This window comes from Homo sapiens, chromosome 12, assembly GCF_000001405.40.
Source record: "Homo sapiens chromosome 12, GRCh38.p14 Primary Assembly".
NCBI classification, from domain to species: Eukaryota; Metazoa; Chordata; class Mammalia; order Primates; family Hominidae; genus Homo; species Homo sapiens.
Window position 1 is genome coordinate 104,494,719 of NC_000012.12, and position 21,186 is coordinate 104,515,904.

The 21,186-nt window shown below is 44.7% G+C and overlaps 1 protein-coding gene and 1 pseudogene across 4 annotated transcripts in view, besides 3 other annotated features; both read left to right on the forward strand.

The window, feature by feature from the left end:
* The window catches only part of CHST11 (carbohydrate sulfotransferase 11), a 305,067-nt gene that overhangs the window by 37,771 nt on the left and 246,110 nt on the right, over positions 1-21,186 (forward strand). The gene's annotated exons all lie outside the window — the stretch shown is intronic.
* Positions 2,780-2,829: an enhancer, noted in NCBI's record as "active region_6918". NCBI's record gives its function as "activates an Ori minimal core promoter by ATAC-STARR-seq in GM12878 lymphoblastoid cells {active_cell/tissue: GM12878}" and the evidence as "EXISTENCE:reporter gene assay evidence [ECO:0000049][PMID:35858748]".
* Positions 2,940-2,989: an enhancer, noted in NCBI's record as "active region_6919". NCBI's record gives its function as "activates an Ori minimal core promoter by ATAC-STARR-seq in GM12878 lymphoblastoid cells {active_cell/tissue: GM12878}" and the evidence as "EXISTENCE:reporter gene assay evidence [ECO:0000049][PMID:35858748]".
* Positions 3,000-3,219: an enhancer, noted in NCBI's record as "active region_6920". NCBI's record gives its function as "activates an Ori minimal core promoter by ATAC-STARR-seq in GM12878 lymphoblastoid cells {active_cell/tissue: GM12878}" and the evidence as "EXISTENCE:reporter gene assay evidence [ECO:0000049][PMID:35858748]".
* LOC124903004 (ATP synthase F(0) complex subunit C1, mitochondrial-like) lies at positions 19,229-19,816 on the forward strand (annotated as a pseudogene).

Below are 21,186 nucleotides of genomic sequence, written 5' to 3' on the forward strand. Positions count from 1 at the left end.
GGCATCTAGAGTTCATTTTGTAAAACACTTAAACAATTCAGGGTGTTTTGTTTTGTGGGTAGATTTTTAAAAATAATTTTAAAAATGTAAAATTGTGGTTAAAAAAGCACAATGTAAACTTTACCATTTTAATCCTTTTTAAGAGTACGGGTCAGCAGTGGTAAGTATATTCATACTGTTGTGCAACAGATCTCCAGAACTTTTTTGTTTTGCGAAACTGACATGCTGTACCCACTAAGCAAACAACAACTCCCCATTTTCTCAGACCCCCTGAGCTTCCAGTAACCACCGTTCTACTTTCTGTTTCTATGAGTTTGATAACTTGAGACACTTCAGATGCGTGGAGTCATACAGTATTTCTGTTTTTGGGACTGGGTTATTTTGCTTAGCTTAATGTCCTCAGAGTTCGTCCATGTTGTAGCATGTGACAGGATTCCTTCCTTTTTAAGGCTGAATAATTCATTGTATGTGTACACCACATTTTGTTTATCTGTTCTTCAGTTGATGGGCATCTGGGTTGTTCCTGTGTCTTGGCTGTTGTGGATACTGCTGCTGTGAACATAGGTGTGTAAATATCTCTCCGGAATCCTGCTTTCAATTCTTTTGAAAGAATTGAAAGAAGTGGGATTGCCAGGTTTTGTGGTAATTCTATTTTAAATTTTTTGAGGGCCCACCACACTCTTTTCCACAGTGGTCGTGCCATTTTATATTCCTACCAACAGTACACAAGGGTTCCAGTTTCCCCACATCCTTGCCAACACTTGTTACTTTCTAATTTTATTTTTTTTTGATAGTCACAGTCCTAGTAGGTGTAAAGGAATATCTTATTATGGTTAAACAGTGTAGTTTTATTATTTATACTTCAGGTAACCAATACATAAATTAGTACTAATAAAAATTGATAACTACTATTTATTGAGTGCTTATTAAGTGTTCTAAGCATCTTGCATGACTTAATTCTCATTACATCTCTGTGAGGAAGAGGTTCCATTTTTACCCATTTTATAGATGAGGAAATTGAGGCTTGGAGAATGTAAGGAACTCATACAAGGTCACACAACGAACTGAAGCCTGTGCCTGGATTTGAACCCAACCGTCTGGCTACTAGGGTGTTCTCTGGCTTTCTTTTCCTAATTGACTATGCTCTTTAAAATTCACATCTTCAGCTGACCCATATCAAGAAAGTTATAGAAGATAATGACATCCTGACTCCTGAATGGAGTTCCTTGAAGTGCCCAGGAATGAAAACTTGGAATAAGGCCCATGCCTCAGTCATCACTGATGCCTCGGATAGCAGACTTAAGCGAGGGCTTTAGAAATAGTGGCCTAGTCTCCTAAGCCCTGGGCTTGTAAAATACTCTGTACTTTTTTGGTTTGAATTCCCTTGTTAAATGAATAATAGAAAATGTGAGGAGAGAGGCACAACATTTTTTTCTTGACACTATTCCACTTTGAGTTTGGTTTCTATTCCAAATCTGTGTGTGTGTGTGGCAGTGGGGAGGAAGGTGTGTTGATGAGTTATTGTTGCATTAGAAGGTTCACTCTTAGAGCCACCAGATTTTCTGGAAAGCCATACATGTGCTATAATGCCTGTCAAATAAAAAATCAATGTGACACAGTTGGTTTAATTTTTGTTAATCTTTATCATATTTAATTTTGTTTTTTGACTAGACCTAATAATGGGCCAGAGGCCTTTAGGCACTGTTGAAGTGACTGCTGGCCACAATTCCCCAAATCAGCTGTAATGTTTGTGTTGGATTATTGTATTAACAAATGCTTCAAATTACATTAGAAAAAAATCCGTTATGTTATTTTAAGTTGGGGGACCAATTCCACACTCACATCTGGTAATCCTATCAGTAAATAATGGCACAGGGCCATTCTAACAGGGCCAATTAAGTCTGCAGGGCCTCTCTTCACTCTTTGATATGTTTTGTGAACATTTTTCTTATTTTGGTGCTATGAAATGAAGTCTCTGTCAAGAGCTCAAGTCATAGACTAATCCTCAAAACTTTTTTTTTTTTTAAACAAGACAAAGAAAATATGAGATGTTGTTTCCTGCAACAAAATCCTAGAGAGTTTGTAGGATGTTTTATGTATGGTGTGTTTTGAGGATCGTGGAACTGAGAAATCCACAAGAATTTGCCATCCAGAAAAACTTTCCACTGGAGGTGGGGAAGAGGGGCCTGCTTGACTCCCTCATGGGCTCAGGCCTACCTCTGCAGTTATGATTGTGGATAATTTAGCCCCTCTTGCAACAGTGTGGTACTTGCTACTCTCACCTCTGACTTGTGGATGAGAATACCTGCCTCCTGGGACCTCTCCTGGATATCAAGCCCCTGGTTTCTGTCATAAGACGTTCACTTAACAGGTGCTATACCTCAAAGGACAGATATTGTCATTTTTGTTTGCTGCAGGCTTAATTTTGTTCCCCTAAAGTTCATATGTTGAAGACCTAACCCCCAGTACCTCAAAATGTCACTACATGTGGATATGGGGTCTTAAGAGAGACAAATAAATGATTATGAGGTCATTAGGATGGGCCCTAATCCAATCTGCCTGGTATTCTTGTAAGAAGAGAAAATTTGGATGCACGGAGGCACCACGGTTGTGCACGCACAGAGGAAAGGCCTCATGGGAGGACACGGCAAGATGGTGGCCGTCTGCAGGCCGAAGAGAAAGGCCCCAGGAGAAACCAACCCTGCTTGACACCTTGATCCTAGACTTCCAGCCTCCAGAACTGTGAGAACGTAAAATTCTGTTGTGAAAGCCACCTACTCTGTGGTATTTTGTTATGGCAGCCCAGGCAAATCAATACATGATTAAACTCCTCTGATGCTTAAGTACCTCACGTATTAAAAAAAAATGTTTACATCCTGTTTTCTCTACACTGTTTCCTTGGTGGTTTCTTCTTAAGTTGTTTTCTGGGGTTTTCCATGAGGAACCAAAGTCTCTTGGTCTCTGCTAACCTTCTTACCGTATGTCCACATCTGTCTTCTTTCTCCCTGCCTTGCTGAGAACCTGGGTCTGTGATAGTGGGTGACATGGACTGGAGAGAGGGGACCGGATGGTAACAGTGTGATCAGCCTGCTGTTTCTTCACAAGCTGATTACATGCAGACAGGTGCATATGGGGCAAGTGCTCAGGGTCCCGCTCCACCCTGCATGTGCTGAGTATCTTCCTGCCCCCTCTTTTTTTTTTTTTTTTTTTTTTTTTGAGACAGAGTCTCACTCTGTTGTCACCCAGGCTGGAGTGCAATGGTGAGATCTTGGCTCACTGCAACCTCCGCCTCCCGGTTCAAGCAATTCTCGTGCCTCAGCCTCCCGAGTAGCTGGAATTGTAGGCATGTACCACCACACTTGGCTAATTTTTTGTATTTTTAGTAGAGATGGGGTTTTGCCGTGTTGGCCAGGCTGGTTTTGAACTCCTGACCTCAAGTGATCCACCCACCTCAGCCTCCCAAAGTGCTGTGAGCTGGGATTGCAGGCATGAGCCACTGCACCAGACCCTGTCCCCTCTCTTGTTCTGTCCTACAGCTCCAGGGCTGTTAGGCTTCACCTGTCATCTTAATAACAGTTGCCATCTCTGTCACTCTTCTCCCTCCTGGGCTGGGGGTGGGGCAAATGTAAGCTTCTCCACTTCCCCAAGCATATGGGTCCATTTTATTTTAAAGGCTTTATTGCCAATCATGACTGGGGAATAGTCAGATAGGATCGGAAGTGACTAGATTTTAGGGGAATTTTAAACTGTCAGTGGGGCTTAACCTCAAACCACTAAAAAGCCAGAAGAACAAAGGGATGTGTACAGGAAGGCTGGGGATGGTGTTAGCGCCTCATGACTGGGATAATCTACTGTGGAGTTCACGGGAGGGCCAGGCCTTCAAAGATGCTTTTATTGAAAACGTCCCTATAGGACCTTTTTCACTGAGAGTTTCACATCTGGGTTATCCAACTTGTTGGGAAAGGGTCTTGGTTATTTGTGCAACTCTTAATGATTTCCGAGAGAGCCTGCTCAAGCGGATGTGGGGTGGATTCAGTTCAAAGACTTGGAACACTTGAATTAGCCGTTGATTTTAATCGTCTTTTGCAGCCGATAACATTAAGGGTTTCTTTTATGAACCTTTAATACGATAGTTTTTAGGTAGTGGGAGAGAGGAGTTGTTTTTGTTTTATATGCTTTTCCAGAAGAAGAAGAAAGGTGATTCAACTTTGAATTTCCTTTGATCTTTTCTTGATCTTCTTAACCCGTTTTCAGAATGGCTACCACTCTACCTCTCCAGAACTTTCAGTGGCTCACTATTGCCAGTCCTCATTCTTTTTTCCTCCCATGGCTGGTTTAATTTAGATCTCCCTATCTGGAATTTGATTTCTTTGCAGCAGGGACCATGATTCTTGTTTTTCAGTTCACATGGATCCCAGAGAATAGAGTAACACTCAGCAAATACTTCTTTTTATGGGAGAGGGTGTTAGGTTTTTAAAATCCTTTTCTCATAGGCTGTTAGATTTGATTTACTGCTTCGTACCTGGGCTTTCTGTTGAGGCCAAGGGGTAGGAGTGTCTTTGGGAGTGCATCAGAGTCCGGGTGAGGCCTGTGACCAGCCAGTGGGGCCCCAGAAGCTCAGTTAGAACTGCTTGTACCTCCTGGTCCCCTGCCTTCATGGAGTGGAAAGGGATGAATTAGGGACTCCAAATCCAGGTCCTGGGCTGTTCTCCAGCCCACCCTAAGCCTGGAGCAGCAACTGGTGATTGGGCCATTAACTTTATGTAGTTCTGGGGCCAGACTGTGTATCCTATAACCTTGGCCTCAGCAAGAAAACATTAAAGGGGAGACCTGGAGAAAATGTGCTTTGATAAATAGATACAAATTCATCCTGGTGGGTCATGAGTGGAAAGAAATCATTATTATGTAAATCAAATAGACACTTAAGTCTGGACAGCAGGTAGCTCAACGCTGGAAGAGTTCACACCAAAAAAAAAGAAGGAAAAAAGGCAGGAAGGGAAATGATCAAAAATAGGGGTGGGTTTTCTGGGCCTGGGGCTGCCTCCGGTCCTCAGTGCTACCTTCCCTCATTCTGCCCCTCTGTTCTCTTGCTGTCCTCCTTCTGCCCCCTGTGGCCATGGGACTGCCCCCACAGGTTCTGGGGACATTTTCTGAGCCCCCTGCACCTGGTACAGCCAGCCCAGGGCTCAGTGGGGGAAGTGCTCCATCAGTATTTTTTTGATGGTGGTAAATAAGATTCATACAGCTTTGCAGTGTTTGATTGTGGACTTTTAATCTGGCACCCCAGGTGACCCTTAAGCTCCTTCTATTTTTCCCTGTAGCTGTCTTTTGAGATGCATTTGCTGGGCCTTGTTAATGGTTTGTTTTTTCCCTTTTGATTTATTAGATTAGAAGCTCAGTTCTTGGCCTCCCCCTTCCTGGGAGAAGTTCTTGCTTCATCTCCATAAAACGTTGCTCTTGGGCTTTTTCCTGTTTTATTACTTAGCATTAATACCTGGCAGCTTATATCTGAGCTCTCATTTTATTTTCGTAACATATAATATTGCCTCTCCTCTGGCAGCCTTGGTGCTTGCGAAGGGTTTAGTGGCCTCTTGTTTTTTTACATTGGGAGGTAAGAATTTAGATTTATTAGTCCCAGCTTGGCGATGAGTGGCACAGAGAATTTTAAATGATTTGTTTTAAGCCACGTAGCTAATCAGGGGACAAAATGAACCAAGGATACTAGAAATGAACGAGCAAGGAAGAAGGCAAATGAACTTCTGACTTCTTCTACCCTTTGATGTTTTACCAACACGAGACTTATTCGTTTTTTAGTTTGGTATTTCTCTGTGAAATGAGCAGAAAGAATGACATGAGCTAAGAGAGGAACAAATAGGCAAGGGATTTGTGAACACAGTGCTCTGATAATGATGACATTGGCTCTCTTGAAGCTACATATATGTTTTTCCCCACAAAGTCTATCTTAGAAGAGGAGTTGCAAATCCCTTGCAAGGGAGGGTTATAGTTGGATGCCAAAGTGGTCAGTTTTTGACCTGGGTTTGGTGTGGGGTGTGTCCACAGAGCTTTAGCTTTCAGTGCATCTGATTCTGTGAAAGAAATAAGAACGGAGTAGTGGAAATGAACTATTGCGGTAGGTTGGCAAGTAAGTCTGGTGACGTTAGGGAGTAAACTGGGAGGAAGTTCCCTAGGCTCTGATCTCTGTAGGATCACGGGTGGGAGGGCAGGTTTGATCTCTGCCCTTGTGAGGAGGTTGGATGGAGCCCTTTGATTCCATCCCTACCTCCGCTAGCTCAGCATTTACAGCAAACAGCACCTGCTGTTCAGGACACTTCATTATGCCTTCGGAGTCCTTCAGGATCTTGAGGATCAGAGGGTATCTAAGTTTTTCTGCCTTATAAAAAAGTGGAGGAGCTTTTCAGAGCATTCTAGAATAAGAGATAAGACTAGAGTCTGGGAACGGAGTAGAAAGATGCTCAAGGAAGGACTCCTCTTCCTTGTTTCCACAGCTGGGCCACAAGCCCAGGTCTCTTTTGCCTTTGACTGTACAACCTGCTGCCTGGGAGTTCCTGGGAGGGACAGGTTTCAGAGTGTGTCCTTGATGGACACATAGTAGAGCCCTGGGATCCAGGAAGTAACAAGAGGGCACTTCCCAGTCCCTGAAAGCAAACACCTTAATTTTGCTAGGTAATTTTGGGGAGGCACCAAACCTGAAGGTTCAGGATCTGAAGTACTTTTTCTCCCTCTTAGGAAATGTGGCCTAGCATTTGGTGGTCATGTTCAAATCCTGGTCCAGTCACTTACTAGATTTCTAATCTTGGGCAAATCGCTTAGCTCACAGATGCTCATTTGACCTGCAAAATGGCCCCAAGCCGACACTCTGAGCACCCTCCTTGGCATTTGTGATTATTAAATTCCATAATGCAGGTAAAGTGCTCAGCCGAGAGCCTGGTCTGGTATTTATAGTCAGCCTGGAGAAAATGAACTCATGAGTTATGGTCTGCAAACGGTGAGCTCCTTCAGGTCCACCCACCAGATGCTGGGTGAAGGAGTCAGCCTCTCTCTAGCCAGGCAGGGAGGCTGAGAGCCTTTGCAGAAAGAAAGTCATTGGCAAATCAGAAGTGCCATCCAGTAAACCCTGGCTTCAGTCACTGTGGAAATTGTTAATCAGACACGTGGCCCTTGCTGATTTTAGGGTAAGGCACAGCTGTGAGCAAACAGCTCACCTCTTTCTCTTTCCCTAGCAGCACATGAGTGGACTCCTAGGACACCACACGTGTGACCTCAACTGTTCTTTCCTTATTTCTTCTTTTTTACTTTTTTTTTTTTCTAGGACAGTGTCTCACTTTGTCACCCAGGCTGGAGTGCAGTGGCATGATCATAGCTCACTGCAGCTTGAACTGCTGGGCTCAAGGGATCTTCCTGTCTCGACCTCCTGAGTAGCTGGGGCTACAGGCCTGCACCACCATGCCTGGCTAATTTTTACATTTTTTTGTAAAGACCTGGGGTGTGGCGGGGCAGTGGTCTTGCTGTGTTGCCAAGGCTGGTCTTGAACTCCTGGCTTTAAGCGATTCTCCTGCCTCGGCCACCCAAAGTGCTGGGATTATAGATGTGAGCTATTGTGCCCAGATTCTTCTCTTATTTCTTCTAAATGCTTGGCTTTTAGAACAGTCTAGGAAAATAATAATTGGCCAGATGACTCAGTTAATAAAGATGTACATTTTTCGAGTACCCATTGGTTGCTGTGGGGAAAAAAAGTCATCTCCTCAGATTGCTAGTAATTTAATTGGAAGGAAATCAGTTGATTTGTGAGTGATGATTTATCTCCACTCCCTCTGAAATTAGTCCCTTAACTTTTAGCCCTACTCCCCGCATCTGAGAAACAAGGTGATCCAGATGGAGAGAGCACCAGGTGTTAAATTGGGTAGCTGATCTACGTTCCAAGGAGCTCATGGTGCAATTCAGACTGTCAAGTGCAAACTGAGTTAAGAGAGACACCAGCGTGGGGCATCATCAGGAAAGAGTTCATGAAAGAATTTTAACAATGGAAAGTTATAAATCTTCAGTTAGAATCCAAGCACTACGGAGGCCCAGAACCCAGGAGAGGAGAATTCAGAGGCAGGCCCTTCTACTGAGTCAGCAAGAAAAGTGCCATATCAGCGCCCCTCAAATCTGCACATGCATAGGAATCGCCTGGAGTTCTGGTTAAAGTGCAGATCTGGATTCAGTAGATGTGGGGCAGAGCTGGGATTCGGCCTTGCTAGCAAGCTCCCAGGTGATGCTGATGCTGCTGGCCTGAGGCCACACTTTGTGTAGCAAAGTCTTACATAATATTTAGGTTAGAGAGTAATGTATAGATGCAGGTAATATGATTAAAGGTGCTCATTACAAGAGAGAAGGAGCTGTTGGTAGATGGGAGCAATATGCCCATCCAGACATCGTCAGGGTGGTGCGCGACATTGCCTGTCTCTATCCTAACCCCAGATCTGCTGCTGCCTGGCTGTATGACCTCGGACAAGTCATTAACAGGTAATGTGATTAAAGGTGTTAGTTACAAGAGAGAAGGAACTGTTGTTAGATGGTAGGAGTATGTCCATTCAGACATTGCCAGGGTGGTGTGTGGCATTGCATGTCTGCATTCTAACCCCAAATCTGCATTCTAACCCCACACTTCCTGGCTATGTGGCCTCGGGCAAATCGTTAACACTATCAGAGCCTCACTGCACACCTGCACGTTGGGGCTGGCATTTAATACCCACCTTCTAAAGTGTGTGCATGTTTAGGAATAAAAGAGCAAATCCATGTAAATGCTTAGAACAGCTCCTGGCACACCTCAAGTAGCCAACAATAAGAGTCTTTCCATTCTCTCACTTGGGAGCTCCTCTTCTTACTGGGACTTGACCAGTGAGACCTTCCGTGCCTGGGCCCTGTATCTTGTGTCCCCTAGAGGCCCTGCAGGACTGGGAAGCTGGCCTCCGCTCTCCTGATTATGATGGTGCTTCCTGATCTTCCTGGGAGTTCTGGCCACCACCAGTGGGACATCAGCACGGGACACAGTTAGTACCCGTTCGCTTTCTCTGTGGCCAGGGATTGCTTCAGGAACTGACCAGCGGAAGCCAAGGAAGGGCTGTGAATGAATGCATGAGGACTTATGGGGAGAAAAAGAAAATTTTGTGTGGAGAGGAAAAAAAGTCATCAGGCAGATTCCTGATTAAAAATGGTAAAATGCTTTTGGACTCAACCTTGTAATTTTGGGCTCAGAAAGCTGGTGAAATGAGATGTAAAATGCCTCAAAAGTTGGACGCACCCAGTCAATGTTAGCTTTTCTTTCTGGCTCTGCAGAGAACATTCCATTGAGTTTTCTCCATCAAGATAATCATTCTCACTCTCTAGGTCTTACCTGGGTGTACCCCACACCCCCAGGGCAGTCATCAGCGCCTTGCTGTGGGGAGAGTTGGTGGCTGGGAGGAAGGGCTCCTCTGGGCCCACTTCAGTGCCTCCCATAGTTTTGCAGCGGCAGAAAAGTCCCATTTCTCCCCGACTGCTCATGGCTGAAGCAGCCCTGCCTTGCCCAGCTTGGTCGAGCTGTGTTAATGTAATTAGCTCACTGGCTTCTCACCGGGGTGGACTCAGGCGCAGTGGCATGTGTGTTAAGAAAACCAGATGCCAGACTCCTGACTCTGGCACTGCTGAGTCCTGTTTCTTCGATGTCACCTCAGTGGCAGCAGGTGGGCAGCCCGTGCTGGGCTAGATGGCTGCCCTGGGAGTCTGAGGACTCTCTCGGGTCTGGTGACTTCAAAGTAAGCTGTAAGTGACACATCTGGGTAGGGAGGAGGCCTGGGGCACAAGAGGTCAAATCCTACAATTTAGGGTCCCTGGGAGTGTTCTCGTCTAGTGATTCCTAAAAGCCTGTTCATGGCCTAGGTACATTTGGATCTTTTGAGGATCTTGTTTAAAAAGCGGGGGCTGAGTGTGGTGGGTGGTGTGCGCCTGTAGTCCCATCTACTAGGGAGGCTGGGGTGGGGTGATCCCTTGAGCCCAGGAGTTGGAGACCAGCCTGAGCAACATAGTGAGACACCCATCCCCCTGTCTTGAAAAATAAGCAACATCTGGGGCCCCATTGGAGGTTCTGATTTGGTTTGGGTGGTTGGAGTGGGGGAGGGGGAGCCTTAATCAATATTTTAAAAATGACTCCCAGGTGATCCTCATAGGCAGCAAGGTTTGGGGAAGCCATGCCAGAGTCCAGCCTTGCACTGGTGCTGAATGCAGAGGTGCAAGTCTGTGATTCTGTCACCAGAGCATGTCAGTGACAGACCTGTAGCCAAACCCAGACCTTGGAACTCAGAGGCTCTTGTTTTGGCTTACAGACACCTATTAGACTGGCTTCTGTAATTTTTGCCCACAAACCCCAGATTTATGCCAGAAATTCAGCCTGGCAGAACAGCGCTGTTATAGACACCAGCAGTTCTATTCTACCTGGGGGCTATTTCACTTTCCCAGGGGACGTTTAGCAATGCTGGAGACATTTTTGGTCATTATGACTTGTAAAGGGGTGAGAGTTGCTACTGGCATCTGGTGGGTAGAAGCCAGGGATACTGCATGGAACAGCACCCCCCACACCCCCCCAGCAGAGAGCTACCCTGCACATGATGTCAGTAGTTCAGAGGCTAAGCAACCCTATTCTAGACGAACGTTTCTCAGACTTAACTGCACTCACTGGGTCCTGATTTAATAGGTCTGGGGTGTGGCCTGAGAGTCTGTATTTCTGAAAAGCTCCTGGGTTATGTTGACGCTGCCTGTCTGGGGACCACACTTTGCATAGCAAGTTATTTTCAGAGCAATTGATTTCAGAGTGACTCAGGAGTGGGTTGGAGTCACAGCTGTACCATCAACTAGCTGCTTGATCTTGGACAAGTTATTTTAACCTCTGTCACCTTAAGTTTATTCATCTGCAAAATGGAGATCATATCACTTAGGGCCAAATTAGATAATATGTGTAAAGAGCTTAACACAGGTTATTGGCCTTGGCAAGCATTCAGCAAATGTAGCCGTTCCTTTCACTCCGTTATTATTTGCTTAGCAGTTCAGCTTTAATTGTCCATTGTTTCATTATTTACCTATTTTGTGTCTCATGCTTTGCTATAAAAAAATAAGATGAGGTGGGAGGTGATTGAAAGCATTATCTCTGTGATGGTGAGTTATAAAGATTACTAGCATTGTTTTTACTCCTAAGTCACCACACCTTCTGTCATGGGGTGGGAAGTGAGGCTGGAATAGGACTTAAAATCAACTCCAAGAGAAACATTTTGAGAACTGGAGGCATCACCAAGTCATTCTTCAAATTCTGGAAACATGGTAGTTATTCTCCACTCACTCAACAAAAGTGACTGTGGAAGGAATGTCCCAAAAATCAGGTGTCTGATCTGTGCGTTTCCATTCACCATGGTTTTAGGGACCATAGAGAAGGATGACAAGCGAACGCAGATAACCAGTTTCATCAGTGTCCTGAAATACTCAAGTCACCTATTGCAGGAGTATTTCAGAGTGAGTTTTGAGTATGGGATTGAGCTTTGTTCAAAGTCCAACATTGCCACGTATTAGCCGTGTGACCTGGGGTTATATAACATCACAAAGCCTCAGTTTCCTCATATCTAAAATGGGAACAAAATAGTATCTGCTTCTAGAGTTGAAGTGAGGCAGAGGTGAGATGATGCATGTAAATTACTGGATGACTTGACCAGGATGGACGGTCCTGCACATTAGAAAGGCTGTTTTCAAATGTTGGAGTGGGACAATCACTTGGAAACTTATTCAGAGGTCCCCCTCAGATAGTCGATTCATTAGGGCCAGGATGAGGCTTGGAATCAAACAGGCACCCTCAGGGATTCTAGCTGTGCTGTGCCACTTTGAGAAACCTAGTCCAGGTGCTAAATTTACAGTGATCACCTTGGGATTCTGGTGTCCGACAGAGATGGAAACTTCGCAGGAAATGTTCCCCAGGCGGGAGGGCTAAGAGGACACAGTAACTCTTGAGAGTTGCTCCGACAGACCTTTTATTTTGGCAAGGGCTTGTGCTTTCTTTGCCAAGCCATCATTCGTTACTTGGCTAGAGGAGGGACCACAGGGAGGGGAGAGGGGACATATACAGCTGGCTGTCAGAACAGTCGACCTCTAAATGGGATAACCTCAGAGCCAGGCATAAGCAATCTGGAAACAAGGAGGGGAGGTGATGGAAGGTGGGAGCAGAGGCAGGTGCTGGAGACATTGCTGCAGACTTCCTGGAAGGGGTTGCCAAGCCGGGAAGATTCAGAGGGGAAGAGCACAGCTGGGGAGAGAGCCCCTGCTGGCTCCAGGTGCTGGTCCCAGAAGGCATCTTTGGAGGGAAGGGTCTGAGCTGTGACGGTTCAGTGCAGGGACAGGTGGGGTAAGCTCAGGTGTGCCGGGCTCCCTGTGCGTGTTGCAGAGCTCCCGGGGAGGGCAAGGATGTGAAGTGCGAGCAGATGGTCTCCGTCACTGCCAACCTAAATCAATGACTGGAGAGGGCGAATGCTGCCAATTAGCAGGATATCCAGAGCTCTTTCTCCCAGCCCAGTGGCCCCACCTGGGAGCCAGGCAGCATGCTTTGCCTCCTGCTGAGACAGATCCTGCTTTTGCTGCTTCCTTGAGAGAAGTTTTAACACATGAAAATGGCTAAGAGCAAAGGCTTTGGCACCGCTGCCTGCTTTCAGATTGCTGCTTTTGCTAGCCATGTCATCTTGATCCTGTTTCTTCCCTTCTCTGGGCCTTGGTTTCCCCATTTGTAAAATGGTAATGGTGGCAATAGTACTCATCAGTTATTGCCACCACAATGCTGCCCAGCAAACTACCTCAGTAGCACACAGTAGTAAGTGTTTGTTGTTCACACATCTGGGCTGGCCAGAGGGCTTTGCTGGTCTTGGCTGGCCTTGCTCATGTCTGGATGGCTTTGGCTGAGGGGAATGACTGAGATGATTTGTCTCAGCTTCCTGTATCTCTCTCATCCTCCTCTAGTGGTGTAGCCCAGGCAAATTCTCATGGATCTGGCAAAGGTACAAGAGCCAGTGAGCCACTCATGTAACTGCTTTTAAGTTCTTTTCTCACCCGCCCCCCACCATGTTTGCTGCCATCCCATTGGCCACAGCAAGTCACATGGCCGAGCCCAGCATCAAGGCTCCTGGCAGACTGCACTTCCCAGGATGGCACTGCAGAGTCACAGTGCCAAGGTGTATGGAATTGGGGTGTTTTTTGCAATCTACCATGAGTACTAACCTCACAGTTTCGTATGCAAGCAAATCCTCATCCACTTACCAGTCTTAGGACAGAGGATCCTCACTGGTCTCCTCGACCTTGAGACACCCAGATTAGGAATTCTTTTCTCCTCTGACTTCTTGTAGTTCCCTCCATATACTGTTCTATTACCCCCGTCCATGACACCTTTGTACTGCTGTTCCTTCTGCCTGTAATGCCTACCCCTTGGCTTACCCATCTGATCAACTCAGCTCTGGGGTCAGACTGTTTGGGTTTAAAGCTGGTTCATGTCATTTATTTAAAGCTTCATGACCCTGGCAAGTTTCTCACCCTCTCTGGGCTTCAGGTGCTTCCTCTGTAAAGTAAGTATCGTAACCTTCTTCCTTCTCTGCCAGGGTTGTCGTGTGGATTAAATAAGAATTGTAAAGCACGTATCAGTGACTACAAAAAACAAAAAGGAAATGCTCAATAGATGTTTGCTTTTGTAAAGCAGAGTTTACATTTTCCCTGTTGCTGTTGAAGCAAGGGTGTGCATCATATCCAATAACTGGGAAAAACAAAGCAAAATAAACCTTTTTAACCTTGAGATGTGTCAGAAATAACAGGGTCACTCTGTCTCATTCTGGTCCCCTGAATAAAGGAAATCTTGACCATTTTCCATAAGCCTGGATTATCCAACCATCAGCTTTATCCTTAACTTGGCAATGATGATATGATTGCTTCTTGTGGTTATGATCATATATGAGAAATGTGGCAGCAGCAGAGGTAATTATCTCTTGTGATTATTTATGTGGTGTGACAGTCTTTCTTATAGCTGGTCCCCCTGAACCTCTTTGCAAGTAAGATTTTTTCTTTCTTAAATGCTTTTCTCTTCCTTCTATGTGTTGCTGCTACTGTTACTCCTGCTGTTTCTACCACTACCACAACAACCACCACTGCCGCGCCACCACCACCATCACTACCACCACTACCACCATCATCACCACCATCACCCCAGCTCAACCAGAATGACTATAATCCTTCACACCCCTGCCAGGTTATCTTCCCTATGATGACTTTCTTAACCAGCTTCCCCCAAACAAGTAGTAACATTTTCCCCACCCAAATCCATCTTGAATTGTGGGAAGGATCCTGTGGGAGGTCATTGAACCATGGGGGCAGGTCTTTCCTGTGCTGTTCTTGTGATAGTGAGTAAGTCTTATGAGATCTGATGGTTCTATAAGGGGGAGTTTCCCTGCCCAATCTCTCTCTTTGCCTGCTGCCATCCATGTAAGATGTCACTTGCTCCTCTTTGCCTTCCACCATGATTGTGAGGTTTCCCCAGCCATGTGGAACTATAAGCTCATGAAATCTCTTTCTTTTGTAAATTGCCCAGTCTTGGGTATGTCTTTATCAGCAGTGTGAAAAGGGACTAAGACAGCATTCTATTATTTTGTATCTTGTACCTGCTTCTGTTTTAACACAGTGTATTTGAAGTACAGTTTTTGAGTCTCCTGTTTTCCCCTATATAAGGGGGCAGAAAACATGTCTCTGTACCTTAACATCTAAGAGAAGGATTTGGCATATAATAGATGCTCAATTTATACCTGTTGAACATTGATAGAGGAATTTCATCTTACTCTCGTGATATTCTTGTTCTAAAACCAAAAATTGCAGTAAAAGGCCCCCGCCCCCACAACCATGGTTGCAGAGGTGTGGAATAGAGTAGAACTCATGAATGACATGAGACATTGGAATTCATGGATAGGCATATGCTAGCAAGCCTGAGATCCAGTGGGGCCTCTAATTTTGATATTTATAAATGGACTTTCCATATTGCCTGTGTTATTTAAGGTAACATGAACTTCTGTAACGTAAGCCCCAAAATCTTGGTGAATGAACACAAGAAAAACTTAATTTCCCACTGATGTGAATAGCTTAGAGTAGGTGTTCTTGGTTGGGGAACTCTCCTCCATTTGGTGTTTCAGGGACCTAGGCTCCTTCCATGTTGAGAATCTTCCATCTTTAACACAGGCTTTCAAGGCCACGGTGAAGGTCATCTACTTTTTTGGCATCTAGCTGGAGGGGATAAGGACATTGAGCTTACTGAATCAGGCCCAGAAGAGGTCCCCATCACTTCTTCTCCCATTCCACTGGCCAGAACTTGGTCTTGGGGAGGCTGACAAATCTAGTCAGCCATGTGTTCATTTTCTGTTTAGTAAGACCTCACACATCAGTGTTTATGCAGGAGATAGGCCAAAACATTTTTTTTTACACCTCTATCTGTTTTTCTACTGCTAAACCAATCTTAACCAAACCCTGCTTCCATTTCATGCAATATTGGCTCTAGACTGCAGCCATGTGACTAAAAGGGGGCCCTTGAACCAGAAATGGGGGAAGGGTTGGAGACTGTGAGCTGCTGTTTGCAATTTATGCATGATGAAGATAAGAATGTTACTTCGTGCTGTTCTTAGAACCCAGTTCATTTTTAGACTGAATGTTTATATGGCTGAGAGCTGCAGGAAACACCATGCCCACCTTGCTTGGTTTAAAGCCTTTGAGATCTATGGTGGCTGAATGTGCTTCCAGGAGCAGAATTTAATGTGCAGGGAGTGGGTGACTATTAAATTCAGTGACTGCAGCAAAACTTTGCTCCTTGCTCCTCTTTGTGGAAACACTGTTTGTACAGCATGTCTTTCATAATCAATACAAGGGAGACATTAATGAAGAGAATGTCTTGTTTGGCAGACAAAGCCTTCCCTTTGTTCGGATTGAGATGCTCAGTTAATTTCCTGGGAGTGTATTTATGAGAAGTTGGTTAGTGATTCTTGTAAGTGTATGTGAGTTTCTTGTTTTTTCTTTTTTTAAGAGAGGAGTCAACAACCCATTGTATTACTGTAAAATATTTGATAGCTTGTACTTTGAGGAATGTACTCATGAGAGCCTAGTCTTATAGATTTGGGATATTTATACATACTTTAAAATGAGTAGGTTGGAGGGGAACTTTAAATATGTATATTTTACTTAAAAAAATAAAAGCCCAAAACCTTTTGTTTGAAATGACCATAAATCAAAGCATTATGGGAGATAAATTTTCTAGACTTTGTGTGTGGAGGAAGTTCATTGAGAAAGATAAGGTGGACAAAATGCTGGAGAAGTTTGGGACAACCCCTGGGTTGAATCAGTCTCCACTTTCAGAGAGTTTATAGCCTAAGTTCCCTTCCCTTTTTCAAAAGGAATTTTCATCTGTCTTGTTTAATAATAGAATCTCTTCTTCCTCCTCCCAGCCTTCTCCTCACCTCCCTTCAGGCAAGCAGGGACTTCCTTCTTTGCATTGCTCAGGAAATTATGTTTCCCACTTGCGAGGCTGGCCAGCAAAACTTCTTTGGAAGTTGGAGAAGAGGATGCCAGTTTCTGCCTTTCTGCTTTCTGCTCATAGAAGGCTCGTGTGATATGTTATCATCCAGTCTTGCTGGCTTTCTTCTGGGTCTTCTGGCTTCCCTGAGTTTGAATCTGCATTATGTTACAGCAAATGCAGTTGACAGTCAGTGGTATAGTTGGAGCATGCATGGCCCATTTCATGGCTTTTTTAGTATGCTGAATGTTATGCCACCTCGGCTAGGTCATGAAATCGTTTAAACAAAATAATGCTTTGGAACTGAAATGTTCTGGTTGGTGAGTTTTCTGGTCAATGGAAGGGAATGACCTTGGGCAGAGTCTGTGACCACAAGTGAATTATCTATCCTTGCAGAGCCTCAGTTTCTTCACTTGGAGACTAGGCACACTATCACTTTCCTTATTAGGGCTGCTGAGAGAATGTAGCTGAGGTTCCTTGGCTACTTAGCAAATGCAGGACTCAGTAATGGTAACCACAGTCATCTCTGGGTATCCATGGGGGATTGGTTCCAGGACCCCTCTCAAATACCAAAATCCAAGGAAGCTCAAGTCAATGCTATGAAATGGTATAGTATTTGCATATAGCCTACACACATCCTCCCATATACTTTAAGTCATCTCCAGATCACTTATAATATTAATAACTAATATAATGTAAATGCTATGTGAGTAGTTGTTCCACTGTATTTTTTTATTTGTATTTTAAAATTGTTATATTTTTTCCCCTACATATTTTCAGTCTGTGGTTGATTTAATCTGTAGATGCAGAACCTGAAGTTATAGAAGACTGAATGTACTATTAATAATTATTAAGATATACAAAATCACTGTTAGTGAGAGATTTAAAAACATCCAGGGTAGAAAGAAAATGAAATAGACTATCAGAAGCAGTAATTTTCTGGTATGATTTTAATTAGTAGCGCTCTACAGGATCCTTTGTGGAGGCAAATGCATTCTAGTTAGTAGTATCTGTGATATCATTTAGGGCTCCTGTTTTATAGATTCAGTTCCACAAATATTTATTATCGAGTGCCTGTGTTATGTCAGGTGCTGTGCTAGGAACTGTTCAGTTAAATAGGTAGTACAGTTAAGAGAATAAGTCAGGGTGTTCTCCCTCCCAGGCCTTAGAGTTGGGGTGATTGTGTGTCCCAGTTTTCCCTGGACAATCCTGTTTACTGCTCTTGTCCTAGCATAATTATTCACAGTGCCCCTTTTATTTTAAGTGTCCTGGTTTGGGAAACTAATTATAGGGTCATCAATATAGGCTATTATTGAGGTAGAGGGAGTTTCTCCAGAAAAGGACTATGGAAGTTCTCTAAACAAGAAGGAGCATGATGAAAAGTATTTTTTAGGGAGTTGAATTCAGGCTAGATGGTAGGACCAGTGAAGAGGTGGGAGAGGGGAAAGCATTTTGGAGATAGAGTAAACCAAATACTACCAATGTGATGGACAGAACCCAACTGGAGGTGCCATCTGGAATTCCAGAGTGTGAAGAGCAGCCTCAGGTGCGCAGCCTTTTTAGGTTTCACCAATCAGCATATCTCAGATGTTTTCTTGGAGACTCCATTAGGCTTTAACAATTGCCTTAAAAATTCCCCAGCAAAAGCATTGTGGGAATAGGGAACAACTCCAGGTTGCACATGAGATGCTTAGCTAGGTCATTGGTTTGTATGGCCATTTCCCTCCTGAGTCTAGGTATGCAGGTCTTGAGGGGTGGAGCTCAAGGCTACTTTTGCATTTCTGCCAGTGCTTCCAAATGTCATGACTGGGGGGGGGGGGGGTTGGGGGTGGGGAGGGAGGGAGAGGTGGGCCAGGGTAGTACCCTTCCTTGACTTAGTGTTTGAAACTTGAAACACAGAAACTTAGTGTTTCTGTGCCATGTCTCACATACACAGAGAGAATACTGGTTGCAATAATTTCAGAGACAGTTAAAAGGTGATATTTTCTATATTCAGAGATTATTAAATTCGTTAGCAAGAGGAATGCAGTTCAGACTTCTCAGATTTGGGAGGTAAATCTCCCCCACCCCCAGTGTTTGCATTTGGTTTGAGTGTCTTAATTACCATTCCAGAACGTTTGTGAAATTAAGGTGGAAAAAAGAATTCTGGCTTAGGTACTAACATATAACCTTTGTGTGTTTATTATGAAGCCTTCATCTTTAAGATTCTCGTTTGCAATCCTGGGCAACACAACCAATTTTCTGTGTCATTAACTTTTTCCTGTAACACCAAAGGGCAGGAGGATGCTGGTCTCCACCTTTTCTTTCTCCAAGGCAAGTTGAACGACCATCTGTGCCATAAGATGGATGAGGCCCAGTGATCCTCTTGTTGATTTGGTATTTGTGTCTTCCCACAAGAATCTTTGCTGATTCCAATGCTCGATTCACTGGAATACTCCCTGCTGTTCTCTGAATTGATGATGGATTAGTTGAGGTCTTTGTATTCATTATTGGCAAGGTTTCGAGACAGTCCCTTAAGTGCAGGAAGAATTCTGGCAGTGGCGTCAGAAGGCCAAGGCTCGGCAACCTTGGATAAGTCACTGTCTGAGTCTGTTTGTGTTGCTATAAAGGAATACCTGAGGCTGAGTCATTTTTAAAGAAGAGAGGGTTAGAGCTGGGCGAGTGCTGTGGGCTTAGCAGGGGCTGCAGGGCAGTGGGAGTGCAGACTTAAAAAATGCAGACCCCCGGGGCACTACTCATTTCTCTAGCTCTGGTTTACTGTGGTACCAGGGGTCTAATCAGGCCTGTGTCTGCCTCCTTCTTGAATAGCCCAGAGAATTCATCTAAACAGCCTTCCTACAGCAGTTCCCTACTCCAGGTGGCCACATAGGAGTTCCAGACCAGTGTTGTCTCCGGGGACATTGACACAGCAGCCAAGTTTATTGGTGTTGGGGCAGCCACAGTTGGTGTGGGTGGTTCAGGGGCTGGCATTGGAGCGGTGTTTGGCAGCCTGATCATTGGCTGTGCCAGAAACCTGTCTCTCAAGCAGCAGCTCTTCTTCTATGCCATTCTGGGCTTTGCCCTGTCTGAGGTCATGGGGCTCTTCTGTTTGATGGTTGCCTTCCTCATCCTCTTCACCATGTGAGACTCTGTGGGGGTCACCTGCCTGTCCCTGCTGCTACGACTCCATACCATTACTGGTGCTGGGATGTGCTAAGCTTTACAACATTTCTCTAAAAAAAAGAAAAAAGAAATAGAGGTTTACTTGGCTCACGGTTCTGCAGGCTGTACACGAAGTATGACGTCAGTGTCTGCTCTTGGTGAGGGCTTCAGGAAGCTTCCACTCAGGATTGAAGGCAAAGAAAAACTGGCTTATCACATGGTGAGGGAGGGAGCAAGAGAGAGAGGGGAGGAAGGTACCAGGCTCTTCTTAACGATCAGCTCTTGTGGGAACTAACAGAGCGACAAGTCACTCGTTACCCCAGGATGGCAAGGTCTGCCCCCATGACACACTAGGCCCCATGTCCAACATTGGTGATCACATTTTAACATGAGATTTGGAGGGGACAAATATCTGAACTATATCAATGAGTCACTTTGTGCCTCAGTTTCCTCAGCGGTAAACTGGGGTAAAGAAGGATATGAAGAACCAATCTGTTAGGGTCGTTCTGAGGATGAATGAGATGGCCATTGTGAAAGGACTCTGGGTCGTTTTAATGTGGTGTCGTATTATTGGATGAAGCATCTAAGTTCATGACTGAATCTAGCCCGTCTCCCGCTTTTGTATAGCCTGTGAGCTAAGAATTGTTTTTACATCTTAAAATGGTTGGGAAAAAAAAATCAAAAGAAGAACAATATTTCTTGACACATGAAAAGTCTATGAAATTCAGATTTCAATGTCCTTAAATAAAGTTTCGCTGGAACTCAGCCATGCTCCCTTGTTGGCGTACTTTCTGTGCCACTTTTGTGCGATAATGGCAGAGTTGAATAGTTGCTCCAGAGACTGAATAGGCCTGTGAAGCTGAAGGCACTTATCTGGCCCTTTACAGGAAAAAATGTGCCAGCCCCTGATGTAGGACAGTGGTTATTGTTCATCTTGTAGCAAGGTGAATCGCGTTCTACACAGAGGTCTTTCCCTCCGATGGTGTTAAAGCTTGGGGAAAGCTAAGGCTCTCAAATTTCTGAGGAAGAAATCAAAGCTAGTTTGTTTTTTCATTCATTCATTCATTCATTCATTGTTTCACCAAATATTCTTTGAGTTCCTGCTGTGTGCCAGACACTGTTAGGGGTGGTAAGGAAAATGCAGTGACACAGGAGAAAATGCCTGCCCTCCTGGAGCTTACAGTCTAGGGGGAGGAGTAAGATAATACACAAATAAAAACTCCTGACCCGCCTGAGGGTGATGGATGATATGGAAGGGCAGGGGGAGAGAGTGGGGACTATTAGGAAAGGCCATACTGAGAAGGCCATAGGTGATGTGAAGGAGGTGGGGTGTGAGCCCTGAACCTACATGATGGGGCTGGGGCAGCGGGGAGTCTGCTTAGGCAGAGGGCGAAGCAAGTTCAAAAGCCTTGGGGTGCAAGCATTGGAGATGGTCAAAGGAGAGCAAT